The following is a 21046-nucleotide window of genomic DNA, read 5'->3' on the forward strand; positions in this document are numbered from 1 at the left end:
CAACTTGACATCACAAAATAGTCTCAGAGCTCAAGGTATTAAAAAAACTACCTAATTCTTTCACCTTGTCTCCTTCCCTCGCTTTAAATGGATTTTACTAGGTTCTCAAATAGTAAGTTATGTGAGATATTTTTCCCACAGAGTCTCATTAATTAAGTGGATTTTTTTTTTTTTTTTTAGACGGAGTCTCGCTCTGTTGCCCAGGCTGGAGTGCAGTGGCACGATCTTGGCTCACTGCAGCCCCCACCTCCTGGGTTCAAGCAGTTATGCTTCAGCCTCCCAAGTAGCTGGGATTAGAGGCATGCGCCACCACACCCCAGCTAATTTTTTTGTATTTTTAGTAGAGATGGGGTTTCACCATATTGGCCAGGCTGGTCTCAAACTCCTGACCTTGTGATCTGCCTGCCTCTGCCTCCCAAAGTGCTGGGATTACAGGCATGAGCCACCGCACTTAGCAATTAAGTGGAAATTTTAAGGAAAACTTTTTTTTTCTGGTATGAGACATTTTCTCCAGTTACTTGTACCTAGGAAGATCTGGATTACATAAAAAGTCTCTTTTATAATGTTATATACAGCTCACATTCCTGAATTACAGTATTTCAAATTTTCTCTTGACCATAATGAAACAATAGACATTAATAACATTCTGTTAATTTTGTCAGTGTTTAACATGGGAAAAAATACCCCAGAAGAATTTTATTCCGGTTATTCTAAGGAGAGAAAACAAGAAAAGTAGCATTAATTACAAAACTTTTCAATAACCAATTTGTTTTCCTTGACAGAAATTGATATGCCTCTAATCTGATATACAGCCTTAGAAAGTCACATACTAATAATATTATTTTGTCGTTTTGCTGTAGATGTGTTCTTTGTGCCATTGTCCTGGAGCAACAATTGGTTGTGATGTGAAAACATGTCACAGGACATACCACTACCACTGTGCATTGCATGATAAAGCTCAAATACGAGAGAAACCTTCACAAGGAATTTACATGTAATTATTTAACTTCTCTTTAAGTTTTTTTTTTAACAATAATACTTTCTTTGGGCTTTTGTAAAAATTTTTCCCATTTCAAAGCATTTCATCATCATCATAAAGGGTGTTTTTGATAAGAAATTTAATACTTAGAGAAATAGTACAGGAAGTTTAATAATATATTTTGAATCCAGCTAGTGAATTGGGTGAAGTGTACTGCTCGTTTTCTTAATTTGAAAAGTGAGTTTAATTTAGTTTGCTTACTAATTTTTGATTTCTTCATTTTTTATAGGGTCTATTGCCGAAAACACAAGAAAACTGCACATAACTCCGAAGGTACATCATTTAGCCACGTTTCAGCCACTTTTCAGTTTCAAGAAGAAATTTGAGTACAGATTAGTGAATTATACTATATTAATTTTAACCATAAGACATATCTCAACATTCAGTACATTTAGAAGAATTGAGAAAAGTGTTAGGATAAACTAATGTGCATAGTGAAAAAGATCTGAACTTCTTTTTTTTTTTTTTTCCTGAAACGAAGTCTTGCTCTGTCGCCCAGGCTGGAGTACAGTGGTGTGATCACAGCTTACTGCAACCTCTACCTTTCAGGTTCGAGCAATTTTCCTGCCTCAGCCTCCTGAGTAGCTGGGATTACAGACGTGCACTGCAATGCCCAGCTAATTTTTGTATTTTTAATAGAGATGGGGTTTCACTGTGTTGGCCAGGCTGGTCTTGAACTCTTGACCTCGTGATCCACCTGCCTCAGCCTCCCAAAGTGCTGGGATTACAGGCGTGAGCCATCGTGCCCGACCAAGATCTGAACTTTTAAGAAAACTTTTACCCCAAAGTCCTTGTAAAGTATATGCTGAAAATCTATCTTTAGTAAGAAATTATGCTGGTGGCTGCGTGTTTCATTTCTTTGTGTTTTTTTTTTTTTGTGAGACAGAGTCTCGCTGTGTTGCCCAGGCTGGAGTGCAGTGGCGTGATCTTGGCTCACTGCAAGCTCCGCCTCCCGGGTTCACATCATTCTCTGCCTCAGCCTCCCGAGTAGCTGGGACTACAGGTGCCCGCCACCACGCCTGGCTAATTTTTTGTATTTTTAGTAGAGATGGGGTTTCACCGTGTTAGCCAGGATGGTCTTGATCTCTTGACCTCGTGATCCGCCTGCCTTGGCCTCCCAAAGTGCTGGGATTACAGGCGTGAGCCACTGCGCCCGGCCTCGTTTCTTTTCTGTTTTCTTTTTCTTTTTTTTTTTTGAGACGGAATCTCGCTCTGTTGCCCAGAGTGCAGTGGCACAATCTCGGCTCACTGCAACCTCTGCCTCCTGGGTTCAAGCGATTCTCCTGCCTCGGCCTCCTGAGTAGCTGGGATTACAAGCACCCGCCACTACGCTTGGCTAATTTTTGTATGTTTAGTAGAGACGGGATTTCACCATGTTGGCCAGGCTGGTCTGGAACTCCTGACCTCAGGTGATCCACTCACCTCGGCCTCCCAAAGTGCTGGGATTACAGGCGTGAGCCACTGTGCTCGGCCAGCTGCGTGTTTCTTTAAGGATGATAAATGGGATCCTTGATACTGTCATATTATAAATGATGTGAGCTTGGTAATAGTAGTACATTTTGTGATCACCAGGCTTTCTGTTATATTTTTATTCACATCTGTAGTACTTTAAAAAATGCCAATGTGTTAATAAGTAACCAAATTTAAAATACAAACTTTAAAAATTATTTAATAGTTTGTTTCTACTTAAATTTATATAAAACCAGGTTAGTCATGTTTATATATAGTTAGCCAAGTTGAACTTGGTCTGTAAAAAGTATGCGAAAACTCTGATACTGAGTTCTGACTTGTTTCAAACCTTTTCAAACAGATGGTTTTGATACTTTTACTAGCAATATAAAATGGCTTAGATGTAATCTGCGATTGTTCTATCCCTTCATTTAGATTAGAGATCTTTAAAATTTTTGTTCGCTTTTGAGAATATGTTGCTTAGAATTATAATGGTTTGAGCACTGTTGTTTTAGGAAGCTGTTTCTTTTATGAAGATTTACCTAATTATTGGTATTCGCATGTTAAAATTGGTGGCCCTTTTTGATCTCTAGATCTTGGCTTTTATAATACAAAACAATATAGTTTCCACTTCTGGACTCGAGATTAGTCCAGATACTTTAAAGTGTTGGTTAAAAATACAGTCGTTAGCAAAATCTAGTCTTTAAGGTAAACATGCTGGATAAATAATAATTTTTTTGAGGTGATAAAATATGACGGAAAAAACCTTAGTAGTGCTTTTCTTCTGTTTTCTCCTCACTGAATTCTAGAATTGAATTGGAAAATCCTTTGTGAAAGATTGAGTACGCTTTTCCACCTTCCATTATTTCAGATTTTAACAGTGCATTTATTTCATTCTCTTTAAGACTGTAGTGGCCCTATATGGTTTTTTTCTTAATCTATTTTTAATTTTTGTGAGTACAGAGTAGGTGTGTATTTATGGGGTACATGAGATATTTTGATACAGGCACACAATGTGAAATAAGTACATCATGGAGAATGGGGTATCCATCCCTATTTCAAACAATCCAAGTTAAGCTGAGGATTGAGACTATGTTATGCTGTATGTTAAGCTGAGAATTGAGACTCATGATCTGATGAATACAAGTATGAGCACACTGAGACAGGATATTTGAGATAATTAAGAAGGATGATTAATATATACTGATTATGTAGATAGCTCCCATTTTATTCCCTGGATTTCTGAAGCTGACAGTACCATCTAGTGGTAGGGAGAAGTCACTGCAAACTATATAAAGTAGAATAATTTTGGCCATGTTTTAGCACTGTGACACTTAATAGAGATCTAAATTCATACTTTTCAAGACAACTTTTCTTTTACTGTAACTGGCAGCATTATTATAACTTCAGATTTGTGCTACAATTAATTTGAATTTGGGATTCGATGTGTACGTCTATAGAACAATGGGCGGGGGGCTTGTATCATTTTTATATATAGTGTGTTTATACTCATTGTGGACCTTGAAAGAATAATTTTATAATTTAAAGTATTAAAGCTTTATATTTATTGATTTCTGGCTTTTATCACATTGATCTAGCTCAAATTTAGTTGATTTTGAGTGCTTTGTCAGAAACAGAACTTCCAATTATTCCATTGTTCTAATGGGAAACATATGTTCTCCTTTACGATCATGGTTTATGATGGGAGGTTATAGGATTGTATTTCAGGGACTGTCTTTTAAGAATTGTACTGCACTAAAAAAAAAAAAAAAAGAATTGTACTGCACTAGTCTCCAGAACAAAGATGAATTAATATCTATGGTAATGTCTTGGTCATTTGCCATCTGTGGCTCAATACTTACTTTGCTAATACTTAATATGATAAATGCTATTAATATATAATTCATTCTGCCATGTTAGCTTTATATAAAATGAGCTGTTTTGAAATATTAAATTTGAGAATAATTGCATAATATAGCAATTCAATTTTCCCATCACAAATAAAATATTATTGAATATTAAATACCTAAAACCTATGTCATCAGTTTTGCTTCAGGAAAAAATGGACTGTGAATTTGAAAAGCAATTTTAAAAATCTATATGGAGTTTATAACTATCATTATGTCACTAGGTTATTAGAATGCCCGTCCCAGGAACTGTATGTATTTACCTGTTAGTGGTGATGGGCTTAGATAAGTTGCCTATAAAATGATTCGAAACATATAAGAAAGCATTTCTGGGCTGGCACGGTGGCTCACTCCTGTAATCCCAGCACTTTGGGAGGCCAAGGCTGGTGGATCACCTGAGGTCAGGAGTTGGAGACCAGCCTGGCCAACATGGTGAAACCCCGTCTCTACTAAAAATACAAAAATTAGCTGGGTATGGTGGCACACATCTGTAATCCCAGCTACTCAGGAGGCTGAAGCGGGAGAATTGCTTGAACCCAGGAGGCGGAGGTTGCAGTGAACTGAGATTACGCCATTTGCACTCCAGCCTGGGTGACAGAGCAAGACTTGGTCTCCAAAATAAAAAGAAAGCATTTCTGATAAAAAAAATATCTCCCCTATCAATGGTGACAGTTAACTGAGGACAGAGTCCTTCCGGAATTATATACAAGCTAGTAAATATATTTCAGCTACTATTTTCCAGGCCTGTTAGGTAATTGGAGATATAGGGATAAATTAGATGGGTCTCTGCCCCAAAGAGCTTGAAGTCTAATATGAGAGATGTACATTAAATAAATAGTTGCACAATTAATAGGTTACAATTGTAATAAATGCCATGAATGAGAAATTAGAGTGCCATGAGCAAATGTTTGGGGGGACCTATGAGGAAATTTCATTTAAATTAAGTCTTAAAAGACTAAAGAGGATTGGAGGCACATTCTATGCAGAAGGAACAGGATCTTTGAAGACTTAGACAGGAAGGAACTTGATGCTTCCAAGGAATTGATAGAAAGCTATGTAAGTAAAAGATAGATAGAGGCAGGCATGGTGGTTCATGCCTGTAATCCCAGCATTTTGGGAGGCTCCAGTGAGGAGATGGCTTGAGGCCAGGAGTTTAAGACCAGCCTGGACAACATAGCGAGACCCTCTCTCTACAAAAATTTTAAAAATTAGCTGAGTATGGTGTGCACCTGTAGTCCCAGCTACTCGGGAGGCTGAGGCAGGAGGATTACTTGAGCCCAGAATTTCAAGGCTGCAGGGAGCTACAATCATGCCACTGCACTCCAGCCTAGGCAACAGAGTGAGACCCTGTCTCTTATTCAAACAAACAAAAATGATAGGTAGAGTGGCATATGAGGTTGGGAGAAGAATACATGGGCCACAATGGTAGGGATTTTGAATATTATCCTAAGAACAGCAAGAGGTAATTGAGGGTTTTAAGCAAAGAGAATGGCTTGTTGCAGGAATCCTGGTTAGTAGTGATAGAAGGCTTGGACTAGAGTTGTAACTACGGAGATGAGCAGAAGTAGACAAATTTGAGAGAGTGTTTGAAGATAGAATTGATGGGACTTAGTAGGTGCATCCAATATAGGGATAAGGGAAAAGAGATATTGGAGATGACTCCAAGGTTTCTGGCGTATCCAAATGGGTGACGGAGGGTGCCACTTGCTTAGATAACAGGAGAGGTAAAGTAAGCTTATGGGGAAAGTTGATGAGTTAAGTTTGAAAGATCAAGTTTGAGGTACCTATGAGCTAGCTAAGTGGGGATATCAGAGAAGCAGATGGATTGATTATATGGTTCTTGTTCTCAGAATAGAGATCTTGGCTAGAGATAGAAATTTGCCAAGTGTGAGTATAGATAATTGCATCCTTGTGAGTGGAGGAAAAATCCCCTAAGGAGAGCGTTCAGAAGAGGAAAGGGCCTAGGACTGAGCCTTGAGGAACTTTAACAATTAAAGGCTTGGTATAGAAGGATGGGCCTGCAAAGGGAGAGAAAAAGAATGGCTAGAGAGGTAGGAGGAAAGTCAGATTAGTGTTACATCCTGGAAACCAAAGGAAGGAAGAGAGTAGTTCCTGAAGGAACCAAATGGTCAACTTCGTGGGCTGTTGAAAAAGTATCCATTGGATTCAGTGACAACGGAGCCATGGGTGACCTTAGAAAATAGATTGGGTAGAGTAATAGGGGTAAAAGCCGTATTGATATGCACCTCGATAAATGGGAAGTGAGAAATTGGAGATTTGTGGCATGGCATGTTACATACATGTCAAAATCCATAGAATGTACCACACTAAGAGTACCCTAATGTAAACTGTGGACTTCAGGTGATAATAATATGCCTATATTTGTTCATCCATTGTAACAAATGTACCACTCTGGTGTAGGATGTTAATAGTAACACGGGTAAGCCTCCTAATATGTTTGCTTGTAAAGGGGCAGGGAATAGTTAGAAGGAAGTTAAAGGGTGGCTTTTTTCCCTTAATTAATAGACTTTATTTTTAGAACAGTTTTAGGTTTATAGCAAAATTGAGCACAAAGTACAGAGTTCCTGTATATCTCCTGTTCCCCAACCCCTAACATACACACACACACACACAGACACACACACACACAGACACACACACACACACACACACAGCCTATCCACTATTAACATCCCACACCAGAGTGGTACGCTTATTACAATGGATGAAGCAATATTGGCACATCATTATCACCCAAAGTCCATAGTTTAAATTAGTGCACTCTTGGTGTGGTACATGCTATGGGTTTTGACATGTGTATAATGACACGTACCTACCATTACAGTATCATACAGAATCATTTCACTGCCCTGAAAATCCCCTGTGCTCCACCTTTTCCCTCCCAAACCTCTGGCAACCACTGATACTGATACCACTGATACTTTTACTGTCTCCATAGCTTTGCCTTTTCCAGAATGTCGTAGTTGGAATCATACAGTATATAGCTTTTTTCAGATTGGTCTCTTTCACTTAATTGCCTTTTATTTTTATTTATTATTTTGAGACAGGGTCTCACTCTATCACGCAGGCTGGAATCCAGTGGCTCAATCACGGCTTACTGCAGCCTCAACCTCCCAGGCTCAAGTGATCCTCCCACTTCAGCCTCCTGAGTAGCTAGAACCACAGGCATGTGCCACCACACCCGGCTAATTTTTTTTACATTTTTTATTTGTAGAAACGGGGTCTTGCCACATTGGCCAGGCTGGTCTCGAACTCCTGGGTTCAAGTAGTCCTCCACCTCAGCCTCTCAAAGTACTGGGATTACAAGCGTTGAGCCACCCTCCCAGCCTTTGCCTTTTTTTTTTTTTTTTTTTTTTTTAGGAGGAGAATTAATTGATACATAGACCCCTTAAGAGAAGGGATGCTATGGGCAGGAAGAGATTGAAGGTAAAGGAAAAAGGATTCAGCACCCAAGCAAAACAATTGGCCTGTGATAGAAGGGCATTTCCACTGTAATAAGAGGGAACGAAGAGGATAAGTGGCTCCTTTCTGGTCTGCCTTCTCTGTGAAGGAGAATGTAGCAAAAGGTGTGAGGGTTGGAAGCTGAAGGAAAGAGAACCGTTTGAAAGAATAGCTCTGAAGACTGGGAGAGGAAGTTTGCCTGGAGAAATGTAAGGTTTCCAGAATAGGTTGAGGGCCCTGTTGAGGTTAGTACCCATGAGTTTATGTAGTGGTTCCCAACAGTCAAGTGATGTGACTTTTCCACCAGTAATTCAGGATCCTGTATGTGCATAGAGAAAGTGGCTAGTTGGGTAAATAAAAATTGGGATCTTGCCAAGTGAGTTTAACGAAGTAAAGGGATATGGGAGTTTAGGATATTTGCAAGAGAGCAGTTTGAGCAAGATAGGGAGGGAAGTGACAGCAGGAGAACAAGAAACAAGAAAGCATCAGTGGACTGGAGGTCCTAATAGGGTTGAAGAACAATGAGAATGAAAGTACTTAGGAAAACAAGCATTTGTGGTCCCAGAGTGTGACATAGGGATGTCAGAAATAGAACCATTTTATGTGATTATAAGGTTTTTGAGTGTGGTAAATTGGAGAGAGTAATGCCCAACTTACCAGTACACCAACGCTCCTCCTAGTATTCTAAAGCCCTGTCTGTCCCTTTTCTGATTGTCTTCTCTTCTTAACCACTGTTTTCCTCATCTTACATCTTCCTAGTTTATGCTCCATCTTCCTCCTCCTAAGTTCTCACATCATTTAACAGTGTGAAGTAGAAAGGGTATCTGGACAGAAAGTCTGAAACTGCCACCCACTAGGTCTTAACTTGGTTAACTTATTCACAAGGCAAAGTGTCCTCATGTATCAAATGAGACTAATAAATATATAATTTTTGTTTAGGGGGAGTGGGGGAGGACATAATTAAGTGACAGATATGTGACAAACATTAAAATACAGTGGTGACATCATGGCTGCATCTTACTCTTAAACCTTTCAGGAAAAAATGTGTATGGATATTGAGAGAGAATGAATGATAAAGCAAGTGTGGTAAAATATTATTTTTAGAATCTGGGTGAAGGGTATACAGGAATTTTTATGACAACTTTTTTTATAAGTCTGAAATTACTTAAAAAGATAAAGTGGTGATAAGTGTTAGAATTACAGTGACCACAAAATCCCATGCTTTCTGAGATGGTGTAAAGGAATCTTTTGTGCCTAACCTTGGAGGCTATAGTCTGTATTTTATTCAAGGACCTGGTGGATTCCCTAATGAACAGTTCTGAAACTTTATATTAGAAATTGCTTGTCAAATGATATAACTCAGTTTATGTTTCAGGAAATAGGGTCACCATAGTTATATTAAAAGTATCTTAAAAATGTTATAATTTATGTAGATTTGAAGCCTTTACCTGCTTTAATATTCACTTATTGGTTGTTTTTTGTTTGTTTGTTTGTTTGTTTGTTTGTTTTTTTGGTTGAGACAGAGTCTCATTCTGTTGCCCGGGCTGGAGTGCAGTGGCACGATCTCAGCTCACTGCAACCTCTGCCTCCCTGGTTCAAGTGATTTTCCTGCCTCAGCCTCCCGAGTAGCTGGGATTACAGGCAAGCGCCACCACGCCCAGCTAATTTTTGTGTTTTTAGTAGAGACAACATTTCACCATGTTGGCCAAGATGGTCTCCATCTCCTGACCTCGTGATCCGCCCACCTTGGCCTCCCAAAGTGCTGGGATTACAGGCGTGAGCCACCGCACCTGGCCACAGTTTGCATTACTTTTATTAAATGGAAATATAGGGAGATTCTGATGTTGGTATTAAGCTCTTTAAAAACCTTTAAGTTGAGTAGCATTGAATAGACTTATGAAGTACTGGGAAGGCAGTATTATACACTGGTTAAGAGTATGGGCTTTGAAATAAGGTCTGTATTTGAATCTTAGCTCTGCCACATCCTAGGCACATGATCTGGGACAAATTATTTGATCGCTCTCAGAGGAGAGCCTTAGATATTGCATCTGTAAAATTTGGGGGATTTTTTTAAAAACCTACCTCATAGGATTATTCTAAGGATTAAATGAAAAATAATGCGTGTACAACTCTAAACAATGGCTCAGTACAGGCATACCTTATTTTATTGCACTTCAGTTTATTGTGCTTCACAGATAACTGCATTTTTTACAAATTGAAGGTTTGTGGCAACCTTGCATTGAGCAAGTCTTTCAGCATCATTTTTTCCGACAGGATATGCTCACTTTGTTTCTGTCACATTTTGGCAATCTCACAATATTTCAAACCTTTTCATTTTTTTATCCGTTATGGTGATCTGTGATCAATGATCTTTGATATTACTATTGCAAATTGTTTAGGGACATCATGAACCGTGCCCATGTAAGACAGTGAACTTAATTGATAAATGTGGTGTGTGTTCTGGCTGCTTCCCCAACCAGCCATTCTCCATCTCTCTCCCTCTTTTTGGGCTTCCCTATTGTCTAAGACATAACAGTATTGAAATTAGACCAATTAATAACCCTCTAATGGCCTCTTAAGTGTTTAAGTAAAAGGAAGAGTTGTACCTTTCTCACTTTAAATCCAAAGCTGAAATTATTAAGCTTAGTGAGGAAGGCATGTCGAAAGCTGAGACAGGCCAAAAGCTAGGCCTCTTGTACCAAACAGCCAAGTTGTGAATGCAAAAGAAAAGTTCTTGGAGGAAGTTAAAAGTGCTATTCCAGGGAACACACAAATGATAAGAAAGTGAAACAGCCCTATTGCTGATATGGGGAAAGTTTTAGTAGTCTGGATAGAAGATCAAACCAGCCACAACATTCCCTTAAGCCAAAGCCTAATCCAGAGCAAGCCTCTAATTCTTCAATTCTATGAAGGCTGAGAGAGGTGAGGAATCTACAGAAGAAAAGTTTGAAGCTAGCAGAGGTTGGTTCATTAGATTTAAGGAAAGAAGTCTCCATAACAATAAAGGTGCAAGGTGAAAGCAGCAAGTGCTGATGTAGAAACTATACTGAGTTATACAGAGGATCTAGCTAAGATCATTGATGAAGTTGCCTACACAAAACAACAGATTTTTAATATTAATGAAACAGCCTTGTATTGGAAGGAGATGCCATTTAGGACATTCATAGCTAGAGAGATGTCAATGCCTGGCCTCAAAGCTTCAAAAGACAGTCTGAGTCTTGTTAGGGGCTAATGCAGCTGGTGATTTTAAAACCAATCCTCATTTACCATTTTAAAAATCCTAGGGCCCTTAAGAATTACAATAAATCTACTCTGTTTATACTCTATAAATGAATGATAGCACATCTGTTTATAGCATGGTTTACTGAATATTTTAAGCCCACTCTTGACACCTACTGCTCAGAGAAAAAGATTCCTTTCAAAATATTACTGCTTATTGACAATGCATCTGGTCACCCAAGAGCTCTGATGGAGATCTACAAGGAGATGAATGTTGTCTTCATGCATGCTAGTACAGCATTCATTCCGCAGTTCTTAGAGCCCGTGGATCAAGGAGTACTTTGGACTTTCAAGTCTTATTATTTAAGAAATACATTTCATGAGGCTGTAGCTGCCATACATAGTGATTTCTGTGATGAATCTGGGCAAGGTAATTAAAAACCTTCTGGAACGGATTCATAATTCTGGATGCCATTGAGAACATCTGTGATTCAAGGGCAGAGGTCAACATATCGATGTTAACGGGAATTTGGAAGAAGTTTATTCCAACCCTCACGGATTACTTTGAGAGGTTCAAGACTTCGGTGGAGGAAGTCACTGCAGATGTGGTAGAAATAGCAAGAGAACTAGAATTAGAAGTGGAGCCTGAAGATGGGACTAGATTGCTGCAATCTCATGATCAAACTTTAACAGATGAGGAGTTGCTTCTTATGGATGAACAAAGAAAGTAGTTTCTTGAGATAGAGTGTACTTCTGGTGAAGATGCTGTGAACATTGTTGAAACGACAACAAAGGATTTAGAATATTCCGTAAACATGGTTGATAAAGCAGTGGCAGGGTTTGAGAGGATTCATTCTAATTTTGAAAGAAGTTTTCCTGTGGGTAAAATGCTATCAAACGGCATCTCATTCTATAGAGAAATCTTTCACAAAAGAAAGAGTCCATCAATGCGGCAAACTTCAGTGTTGTCTTAATTTAAGAAATTGTCATGCCACCCCATCCTTCAGCCATCCACCACCTTGATCAGTTAGCAGCCAACAGCATCAAGGCAAGACCCTTCACCAGCGAAAAGATTACAGCTTACTGGAAAGCCCAGATGATTGTTAGCATTTTTTAGCAATAAAGTATTTTTAATGAAGGTACATACCCTTTTTTTATACATAATGCTATTATACACTTAGTAGACTACAATATAGTGTAAACATAACTTTTAAATGCACTGGGAAATGAAAAGATTCATGTGATTTGCTTTATTGCGATAACTTGCTTTACTGTGGTAGTCCGGAACCAAACCCACGATATCTTGAAGATGTCTGTAAATACTGTGTTCTATATCATTATTATTCCTTTAAACTTCCACCTGCTTTTATCACCATCTTTTCATGTGCTCTTCCTTAGATGACAATGGAATTTAAATTCTTTGTACTTTAACCTGGAAAATTTTAGTAGTGTATTCATATTGTGGTCTTCGCACCATGTAAAACTGACTCCATATTCTTTTTTTGTTTGTTTGTCTCATTCTGTCGCCCAGACTGGAGTGCAGTGGTGCGATCTCGGCTCACTGCAGCCTCCACCTCCCGGGTTCAAGCGATCCTCCCACCTCAGCCAAGTAGCTGGGATTACAGGTGCCTGCCACCACGCCCAGATAATTTTTGTATTTTTAGTAGAGACAGGGTTTTGCCACGTTGGCCAGGCTGGTCTCAAACTCCTGACCTCAGGTGATCTACCCACCTCAGCCTCTCAAAGTACTGGGATTACAGGCGTGAGCCACCGCGCCCGGCCGACTCCATATTCTTTCTGATTCACCCATGTGCAGAGTACTGTGTTAGGCATTGTGTATGCTCATCTGTGATTTAGCACACTGTACAAGCTTTCATTATAGGAAATTTCAAACTTAGGCAAAAGTAGAAATAACAGCATAACGTTTCATCTTTACCCCCCACTCACTTTCTTCATTTGGATTATTTCGAAGTAATCCCAGACATCAGATTTCATTTTAGCACACTTTAGTAATAATATATTTTGGGTGTATGTTACAAATTTGTATATTCATGTGTATGTATATATGCATGTTTGTGCATGTGTATGTATATATATATAATATCAAGTATATCAAGTAAATGATTTATATATATAAATGATTTATATATATATAAATCATACCTTTCCTGAAAAAGCAGGAAGCTGAGTTCACAAATGACTCCGCACATACAGAGTAAATGCACATCACATTTACACTGGAAAAGGCAGGGCGAATGTCCTCCAGTTTTCCTTTTGCAGCAACCATGAAGATTCAAAGCAGAGGTGGTGATGCTTGCCTCAATCTTAATGCCTGTCCTTTTTCTTTTTCTTTCTTTCTTTCTTTCTTTCTTTCTTTCTTTCTTTCTTTCTTTCTTTTTTTTTTTACTCTGACAAACATTTATTGAGTACCTACAAGGTGTGAGCACCTTGGAGAATTAAAGTCCCCATGTGGACAAAGAGCTTAGAGTCTACACAAGATATGCCAAGAGTATTAACTAACAATTAAATAGAATTTTATAGTTTACAAAGCATTTTTCACAAGTAATTTCTTAAAGCAGCCTTGTAAGAAAGGTATTAACATTAGTCCCATTTGACACATGAAGACACTTGTGAATGGTAAGTAACTTAACCAAGTTAAGACCTAGTAAGTGGCAATTTCAGATGTTCTGTCCAGATATCCTTTCTACTTCACACTGTTAACTGATGTGAGAACTTAGGAGGAGGAAGGTGGAGCATAAACCAGGAAGTTGTAAGATGAGGAAAACATTGGTTACTAAGAGAAGAGAATCAGGAAAGGGACAGACAGGGCTTTACAATACTAGGAAGAGAGTTGGTGTCCTGGTACGTTGGGCATTCCCCTCCCTATAGAGGCCATACCAGAGGAGAACAGAAGGGTAATAGAGAGGGGCCTGGCCATTCTAACGTGACACAGACATCTGCAAGCTGTGCTGATAAGAGGCTGGGAATGTTTGGTGGCTCGGGAAGGAGGACAACCCTATTTTGTCGCCTGCCTTATCAGCCTGGATTTTTAGAAATTGCAGCTGTGAATATAAGTGTAAAGTTTTACTTTTTATCGTATTTATTTTGAATAGATACATGAACATTGTACAAAAATCAGGCTTTCCTGTCACCCGTGCCCTTGTATCTGTTTCTGAATTCTTTTGCTAAAAGCAAACACTACTATCTGTGAGTTTCTTGTGTATCCTTCCAGACCAATTATGTGCATACATAAGCATAACTGTTCTTTTTCTAACATCCAGGAGCATATGGAAATGTGTATTTCCATGACAATGAATATTACTATTTTAAGAGCATACTTGTAGTTATTCACTGACATATATATTTGTCCCAGCTCTGCCATTCTCTAGCTTTGTGACCTTGGGCAAAATTACTTAACCTTTCTAAACTTCCTTATCTGTAAAACAGGGTGGTGGTGGGTGGAGGGGGTGTTGGGAAGATGACCGTTACAACTTTGTGGAATGATTGTGAGGCTCAAATGAGATAATGCATATAAACCACATAGCATATCTGGTATAGTGAAAACTTAAAAGCTCAAATGTTAGCTCTTACTATTCTATTTCCAACTTATACACACATATTTACAAATGAAAGCTGTTAAGATACTGTACAAGTGAGCAAAGATAAATGGAGAAAGTGTTCATCACATTTGTAACAGCAAAACCACTGAAAACTTACAAGTCATAACCATAGGGGGCTGGTTAAATACGATGGATTACTATTAGCTCTTATATGGAAGGAGGTAAATTCCTATATACTGACATGGAAAGTTGTCAAGCTATATTAAGTGGAAAAAGCAAGATGCAGAATAGTGTGCTTAGAATGCCATTTGTGTGTATATCATTTTAAAAAACGTGCATATGCAGAGAAAATAATAGCATTTATTGAAAGCATCTTATGTGCCAGGCACTGTTTTAAGTATTTTACATGCACTAATTCATGTAATTCATTTAAGAACCCCCTGACGTAGGTTTCAGGTCCAAAGATACACAGTATGTGGAAGATCCAAGATTCAAACTGAGGCTCTTATACACTGAGGTTGAGAAAAGAAGCAGTTAACAGTGCTTTTCTGGGTGGGAGGTCAGGAGGTCAGGGAGGGAGGCAGGTTAGGGAGACTGAGGAGCCAACCAGGAGCACAGAGCAGGTGGAAGTAGAAGGTGAAAGGAAGATTTTCACTTTTTTTACATTTTTATTTTGAGACTCGCTCTGTCTCCCAGGCTGGAGTGCTGTGGCGTGATCTCGGCTCACTGTAACCTCCGCCTCCCGGGTTCAAGTGATTCTCCTGCCTCACCCTCCCAAGTAGCTGGGATTGCAGGCATGTACCACCACACCCGGCTAATTTTTGTATTTTTAGTAGAGACGGGGTTTCACCATGTTGGTCAGGCTGGTCTTGAACTCCTGACCTCAAACAATCCACCCGCCTTGGCCTCCCAAAGTGCTGGGATTACAGGCGTGAGCCACTGCGTCCAGGCCTAAGGATTTATCTATTAATAAAATTGGTTATATCTGCTTCTTCATCATTACAAATAATACTGCAACAATTTCCCTTGTACATAATATACTTATGTACTTATACGAGTGACTCTGTAAGATAAAAGTCTTAGAAATGGGGTTGCCAAGTCAAAGGGTCTATGCATTTAACACAGGGAATGAGTACTGTCACGTGGCTTCTGAAACTGTTTACCCAGTTTATGTTCCCACTAACAGTGTCTAATTCCCATACCTGTGCTAGGTATTATGTCTTTAATTTTTGTCTGATTATTTCATTTAATTTTAATTTCCATTATCACTGGTGAGGTTGGGCCTCTGTTCATGTTTTTTTGTCATTTATGTTTCTTTTGTGAATTGCCTTTTCCTATGCTTTGTGCATTTTTCTCTTGGGGTTTGTCTTTTTAAAATTGATATACAGGTGTTCTCTATAATATAGATATTCTGCCACTATATGCAAATGATCTTCCAATTTATTTATTTATTTGAAACAGAGTTTCACTCTTGTCACCAGGTTGGAGTGCAGAGGTGCGATCTTGGCTCACTGCAACCTCCACCTCCCAAGTTCAAGCGATTTTCCTGCCTCAGCCTCCCTAGTAACTGGGATTACAGGTGCCCTGCCACCATGCCCGGCTAATTTTTGTATTTTTGGTAGAGACGGGGTTTTGCCATGTTGGCCAGGCTGGCCTCGAACTCCTGACTTCAGGTGATCTGCCCACCTCAGCCTCCCAAAGTGCTGGGATTACAGGCCTGAGCTACCGCACCGGCCCCAATTTATTTCTTTTAACTTAGTTTATGGTGCCTTTAGCTGTACAAAAGTTACTAATTTTTAGTCAAATATCCCAGTCTTTTCCTTTAGGGCTTCTTATATGTCCTGATCCAAGATTATTTTTTAAAATTCTCCGCTATTTTCTCCTATTATATTCATAGTTTACTTTACAATTAGATTTTTAATACATCTCCTAACTTTTTCATATAGTATGAGGTATCCATTTTTAAAAAATGGATATCCAGTTGTGCCATTATGTCTTTTCCACTCATCTGAAATGCCACCATTATCATATTTTCAATTTTCATGTGCACGTGGGTCTGTTTTCAAACTTGGAGATTCTCTTCCACTGATATATGTCTATTCTTGTGCCAGTGGTTTAACTGCTATTGCTTTATAGTATATTTTGATATCTTCTTTTCAAAAGGATACTCTTGTGTATTCTTTTTTTCATCTTGTGTATTCTCATCCATTTTCCAGAAAACCACAGAATCAACTTTAAGTTTCATTTCATTAAGTCAGATTAGTGAGAGCTGATTTTCTGTGTATCATGTTCATTCAGAAACATAGTCTATCTCTCCATTTAGGGGCACTTGTTTTATATTTTCTTTCTAACACGTATTTTGTTGGGTTTATTGTACCTTTTTTTTTTTTAACTTCAGATTCAGGGGGGTGCACGTGCAGGTTTGTTACCTGAGTATACGATATGATACTGAGGTTGGAGTATGAATGATGCCATTACCCAGGTACTGGGCATAATACCCAATAGTTAGTTTTTCAACCCTTGCCCTTCTCCCTCTCTCCTCCCTCTAGTAGTCCCCAGTTTCTATTACTGCCATCTCCATGTTCATGAGAACCCAGTGTTTAGCTCCCACTTATAAGTGAGAGCATGTTGCATTTGGTTTTCTGTTCCTGCCATATCCTTATTGCCACAAAGGACATGATTTCATTCTTTTTTATGGCTACAGGATATTCCATGTAGCAGGGTATTCCACACCAAACCACATTTTCTTTATCCAGTCCACCGTTGACGCACACCTAGGGTGATTCCTTGTCTTTGCTATAATGAATAGTGCTGCGGTGAACATAACAGTGCATGTGTCTTTTTGGTGGAACGATTTGTTTCCTTTTGAATATATACCCAGTAATGGTATTGCTGGGTCAAATAGTAGTTCCGTTTTATGTTGTTTGAGAAATTTCCAAACTGCTTTCCACAGTGGCTGAGCTAATTTACATTCCCACCAACAGTGTATAAACATTCCCTTTTCTCCACAGCCTCACTAGCATCTATTGTTTTTTGACTCTTTAATAATAGCCATTCTGACTGATGTGAGATGGTATCTCATTGTGGTTTTTATTTTAGCTTTTAATAACTATTTAAAGTCTGCTGTTTTGATAGGTGAAAATGATATATCACTTAATTTGCACTTTGATGCTGGAGAAGTTAAATATTTTTAAACTATACTTATTAACTACTTATATTCTGAGAATTATCTGATTATATCCTTGATCTGTTTTTCCATTTGGGTCTTAATCTTGCATGAGCTTATCATATCATAATGATACTAATTCCTTGTCAGAGGTACAGCAGAAGCAGATATTTTTCCAGTTTATTTTATTTTATTTTATTTTATTTTATTTTATTTTATTTTTGAGACAGAGTCTTGCTCTGTCACCCAGGCTGGAGTACAGTGGCATGATCTCGGCTTACTGCAACCTCTGCCTCCCGAGTTCAAGTGATTCTCCTGCCTCAGCCTCCCTAGTAGCTGGGTTAACAGGCACGCGACACCATACCCAGCTAATTTTTTTTGAAGTTTTAGTAGAGACAGGTTTTCACCTTGTTGGCCAGGCTGGTCTCGAACTCGTGACCTCAAGTGATCCAACTGCCTCAGCCACTGCGCCCGGCCTTTTTCCAGTTTATTGTTTGCCTTTTAACTTACCACTTTTTTTTTTTTTTTGAGATGGAGTCTTGCTCTGTCACCCAGGCTGGAGTGCAGTGGCGCGATCTGGGCTTACTGCAAGCTCCGCCTCCTGGGTTCACACCATTCTCCTGCCTCAGCCTCCCGAGTAGCTGGGATTACAGGCATGCACCACCACGCCCAGCTAGTTTTGTATTTTTAGTGGAGATGGGGTTTTTCCATGTTAGTCAGGTTGGTCTCGAATTCCCGACCTCAGGTGATCTGCCCATGTTGGCCTCCCAAAGTACTGGGATTACAGGTGTGAGCCACCACACCCAGCCCAAATTTACCACTTTTTAATTTATACTTTTCAGTTTGAAAGTCTAATATAGTTAAATATATGAATCTTTCGTGACTTTTACTATTGATGTTAAAGTTGTTAAAAATTTTTGTGGAATGATTTCATATTTAGAACAAATATGACATGTGGGAAACTAATCATGTTGGCTTGATAATGGAATCAGTTCTTAAGTAATTTTTATAGATGTTTAATAAATAACATTATTAAATGTTATAGATGTTTAATAATGTTATTTATTAAACATCTTATTTGTTTATTGTTATTTATTAAACAACTATTAAATGTTATTTAATAGTGTTATGTATGGTGTTAGTGATGCTTATTTTCATAATAGATAACTGAATATATTATGTGTATACATATGTATAAAACAATGTTTTATATATACATACACATAGATGTCTTAGAATGATTGAAACAGTTATGATTTTTCATTTTGAGAATTTTTAATATTTGGCAAGTGCAAGTAATTCTTTTTTGAGATGGAATCTTGCTCTGTCACCCAGGCTGGAGTGCAGTGGCACAATCTCGGCTCTCTGCAACCTCCGCCTCCCGGGTTCAAGCAATTCTTCTGCCTCAGCCTCCCGATTAGCTGGGACTACAGGTGTGCGCCACCACACCCGGCTAATTTTTTGTATTTTTAGTAGAGACGGGGTTTCACCATATTGGCCAGACTGGTCTCGAACTCCTGACCTCGTGATCTGTTCACCTCGGCCTCCCAAAGTGCTGGGATTACAGGCGTGAGCCACCACGCCCAGCCAAGTGCAAGTAATTCTAACAGCTTTTAGTGAAATTCCATGTCTTAAAAATTGTCAGTTTGAATATTTAAATTAAGTAGTGTATTCTGACATGAAGTTTGCTATCGTGTTAAGGAGAGAAAACATCTTTAATTGACTTCTGTGTCTTCACAGGAAGTTATTCACGTGAATTTATTTTGTTGCCTATAAAACACTATGCAATAACTTTTACCTTTTCCCCTTAACTCCCTCAAGTCCCACCAGAGCTATGTGAAGTTGCACTCATGTAAATTGTTATTAACTGTTTTGCAAACAACCTAATACTTGTAGTTCCCTTAATTTATATATATATTCAAGTATACCAACTGAATTGCCCTTTTCTTATAATAAATGTGCTTTCATTTCTAATAAACAACCTTCAAAGTAGTAGGAAAGATATTAACGTCTGAGCATAGGAGTTGATATGCTTTCTCATTGAGAAATTAGTCTCTAGAATTATAATCAATAACATGGTAAAGGAAAAAATGGCGAAAATATTAGAGCTGTGCCTAAAACTTTCCATAGTTTGAGCCTATGGCAAGTGAACATTTGGTTTTTATTACCCTTTTAAACACTAAATATTAATACATTATCTTATACAGAGGCCTTCAATAAATAAAATATTTATAGTAAACTACTGATGAAACACCTTTCATTATGGTAGAAATTCTTTTCAGATTACTGAGAAATGCAGTTCTCAAATTTCTGCGTAAGTTTTGCTTAATTCATTAAAGCATATGCAACTAACTTGCAACATACTTTTTTTACTGCTTGTATTAGAAATTCTTTTTGTACTTAATATTTGTTTAATTACTTGATCCATTAGTTCAATTGTAAATGACTTCCTTGTTGAATTTGTTCATTCAGTTTTCATGATCGTTTGAAGAGTAATCTAGACCAGTGTTATCCAGTAGAACTTTCCTGTGACAGTGGCAACAGTCCTGTATATGTGCTGTCTAATACAGTTGCAACTAGCCACATGTAGCCAATAAGCTCTTGCAGTGCGGTCAGTGTGACTAAGAAACTGAAGTTTTAATTTTATTTAATTATAACTGACTTAAATTTTTTAAGGCCACATGTTGCTAGTGGCTACTACATTGAATAGCACAGATATATCTACTTTATTTTCATTTAGTTTTCCAAGTTACAGTAAGTGTATTTTCTAGGTAAGTGTTCTAATTTTACAAACTCTTTGAAACCTATGGTAAAAAAAAATAATAATGCAAAAGCAAACTCTAAAAATTAATTTACTAAACTATTTGTATTTGATTTTTATTGCATTTATCTGAAACATTGGGTGGCTTTATTGAACATACCACAGACCATTTCTCCTCATTTCTGGAGACAGTTTCATTCTAAGGAGAAACATATGTCCTAAAGACCCATGAACTAATACTTATTTTGAGATTGGTCCATAAAAAGTTTTTGTTCATTTTTAAGCAGCTGATTTAGAAGAAAGTTTTAATGAACATGAACTGGAGCCCTCATCACCTAAAAGTAAAAAGAAAAGTCGCAAAGGAAGGCCAAGAAAAACTAATTTTAAAGGGCTGTCAGAAGATACCAGGTCCACATCCTCCCATGGAACAGATGAAATGGAAAGTAGTTCCTATGTAAGTAAAAAAAACTGTTGGATTCTTAC

General features: G+C 38.2%; 1 protein-coding gene across 3 annotated transcripts in view; it reads left to right on the top strand.

Annotated features, from left to right (window-relative positions):
• Positions 1-21046, top strand: part of PHF6 (PHD finger protein 6) — a 55479-nt gene that overhangs the window by 19329 nt on the left and 15104 nt on the right. For 2 of the 3 annotated variants that reach the window (NM_032458.3, NM_001015877.2), the window contains exons 4-6: positions 861-994; positions 1269-1312; positions 20851-21017. In NM_032458.3, coding sequence (NP_115834.1) covers positions 861-994; positions 1269-1312; positions 20851-21017 — 345 coding nt within the window. Of the gene's footprint in view, positions 1-860; positions 995-1268; positions 1313-20847; positions 21018-21046 lie in introns of all 3 variants that reach the window. The other variant, NM_032335.3, reaches the window with a different exon arrangement.

This window comes from Homo sapiens, chromosome X (assembly GCF_000001405.40).
Source record: "Homo sapiens chromosome X, GRCh38.p14 Primary Assembly".
NCBI lineage: Eukaryota > Metazoa > Chordata > Mammalia > Primates > Hominidae > Homo > Homo sapiens.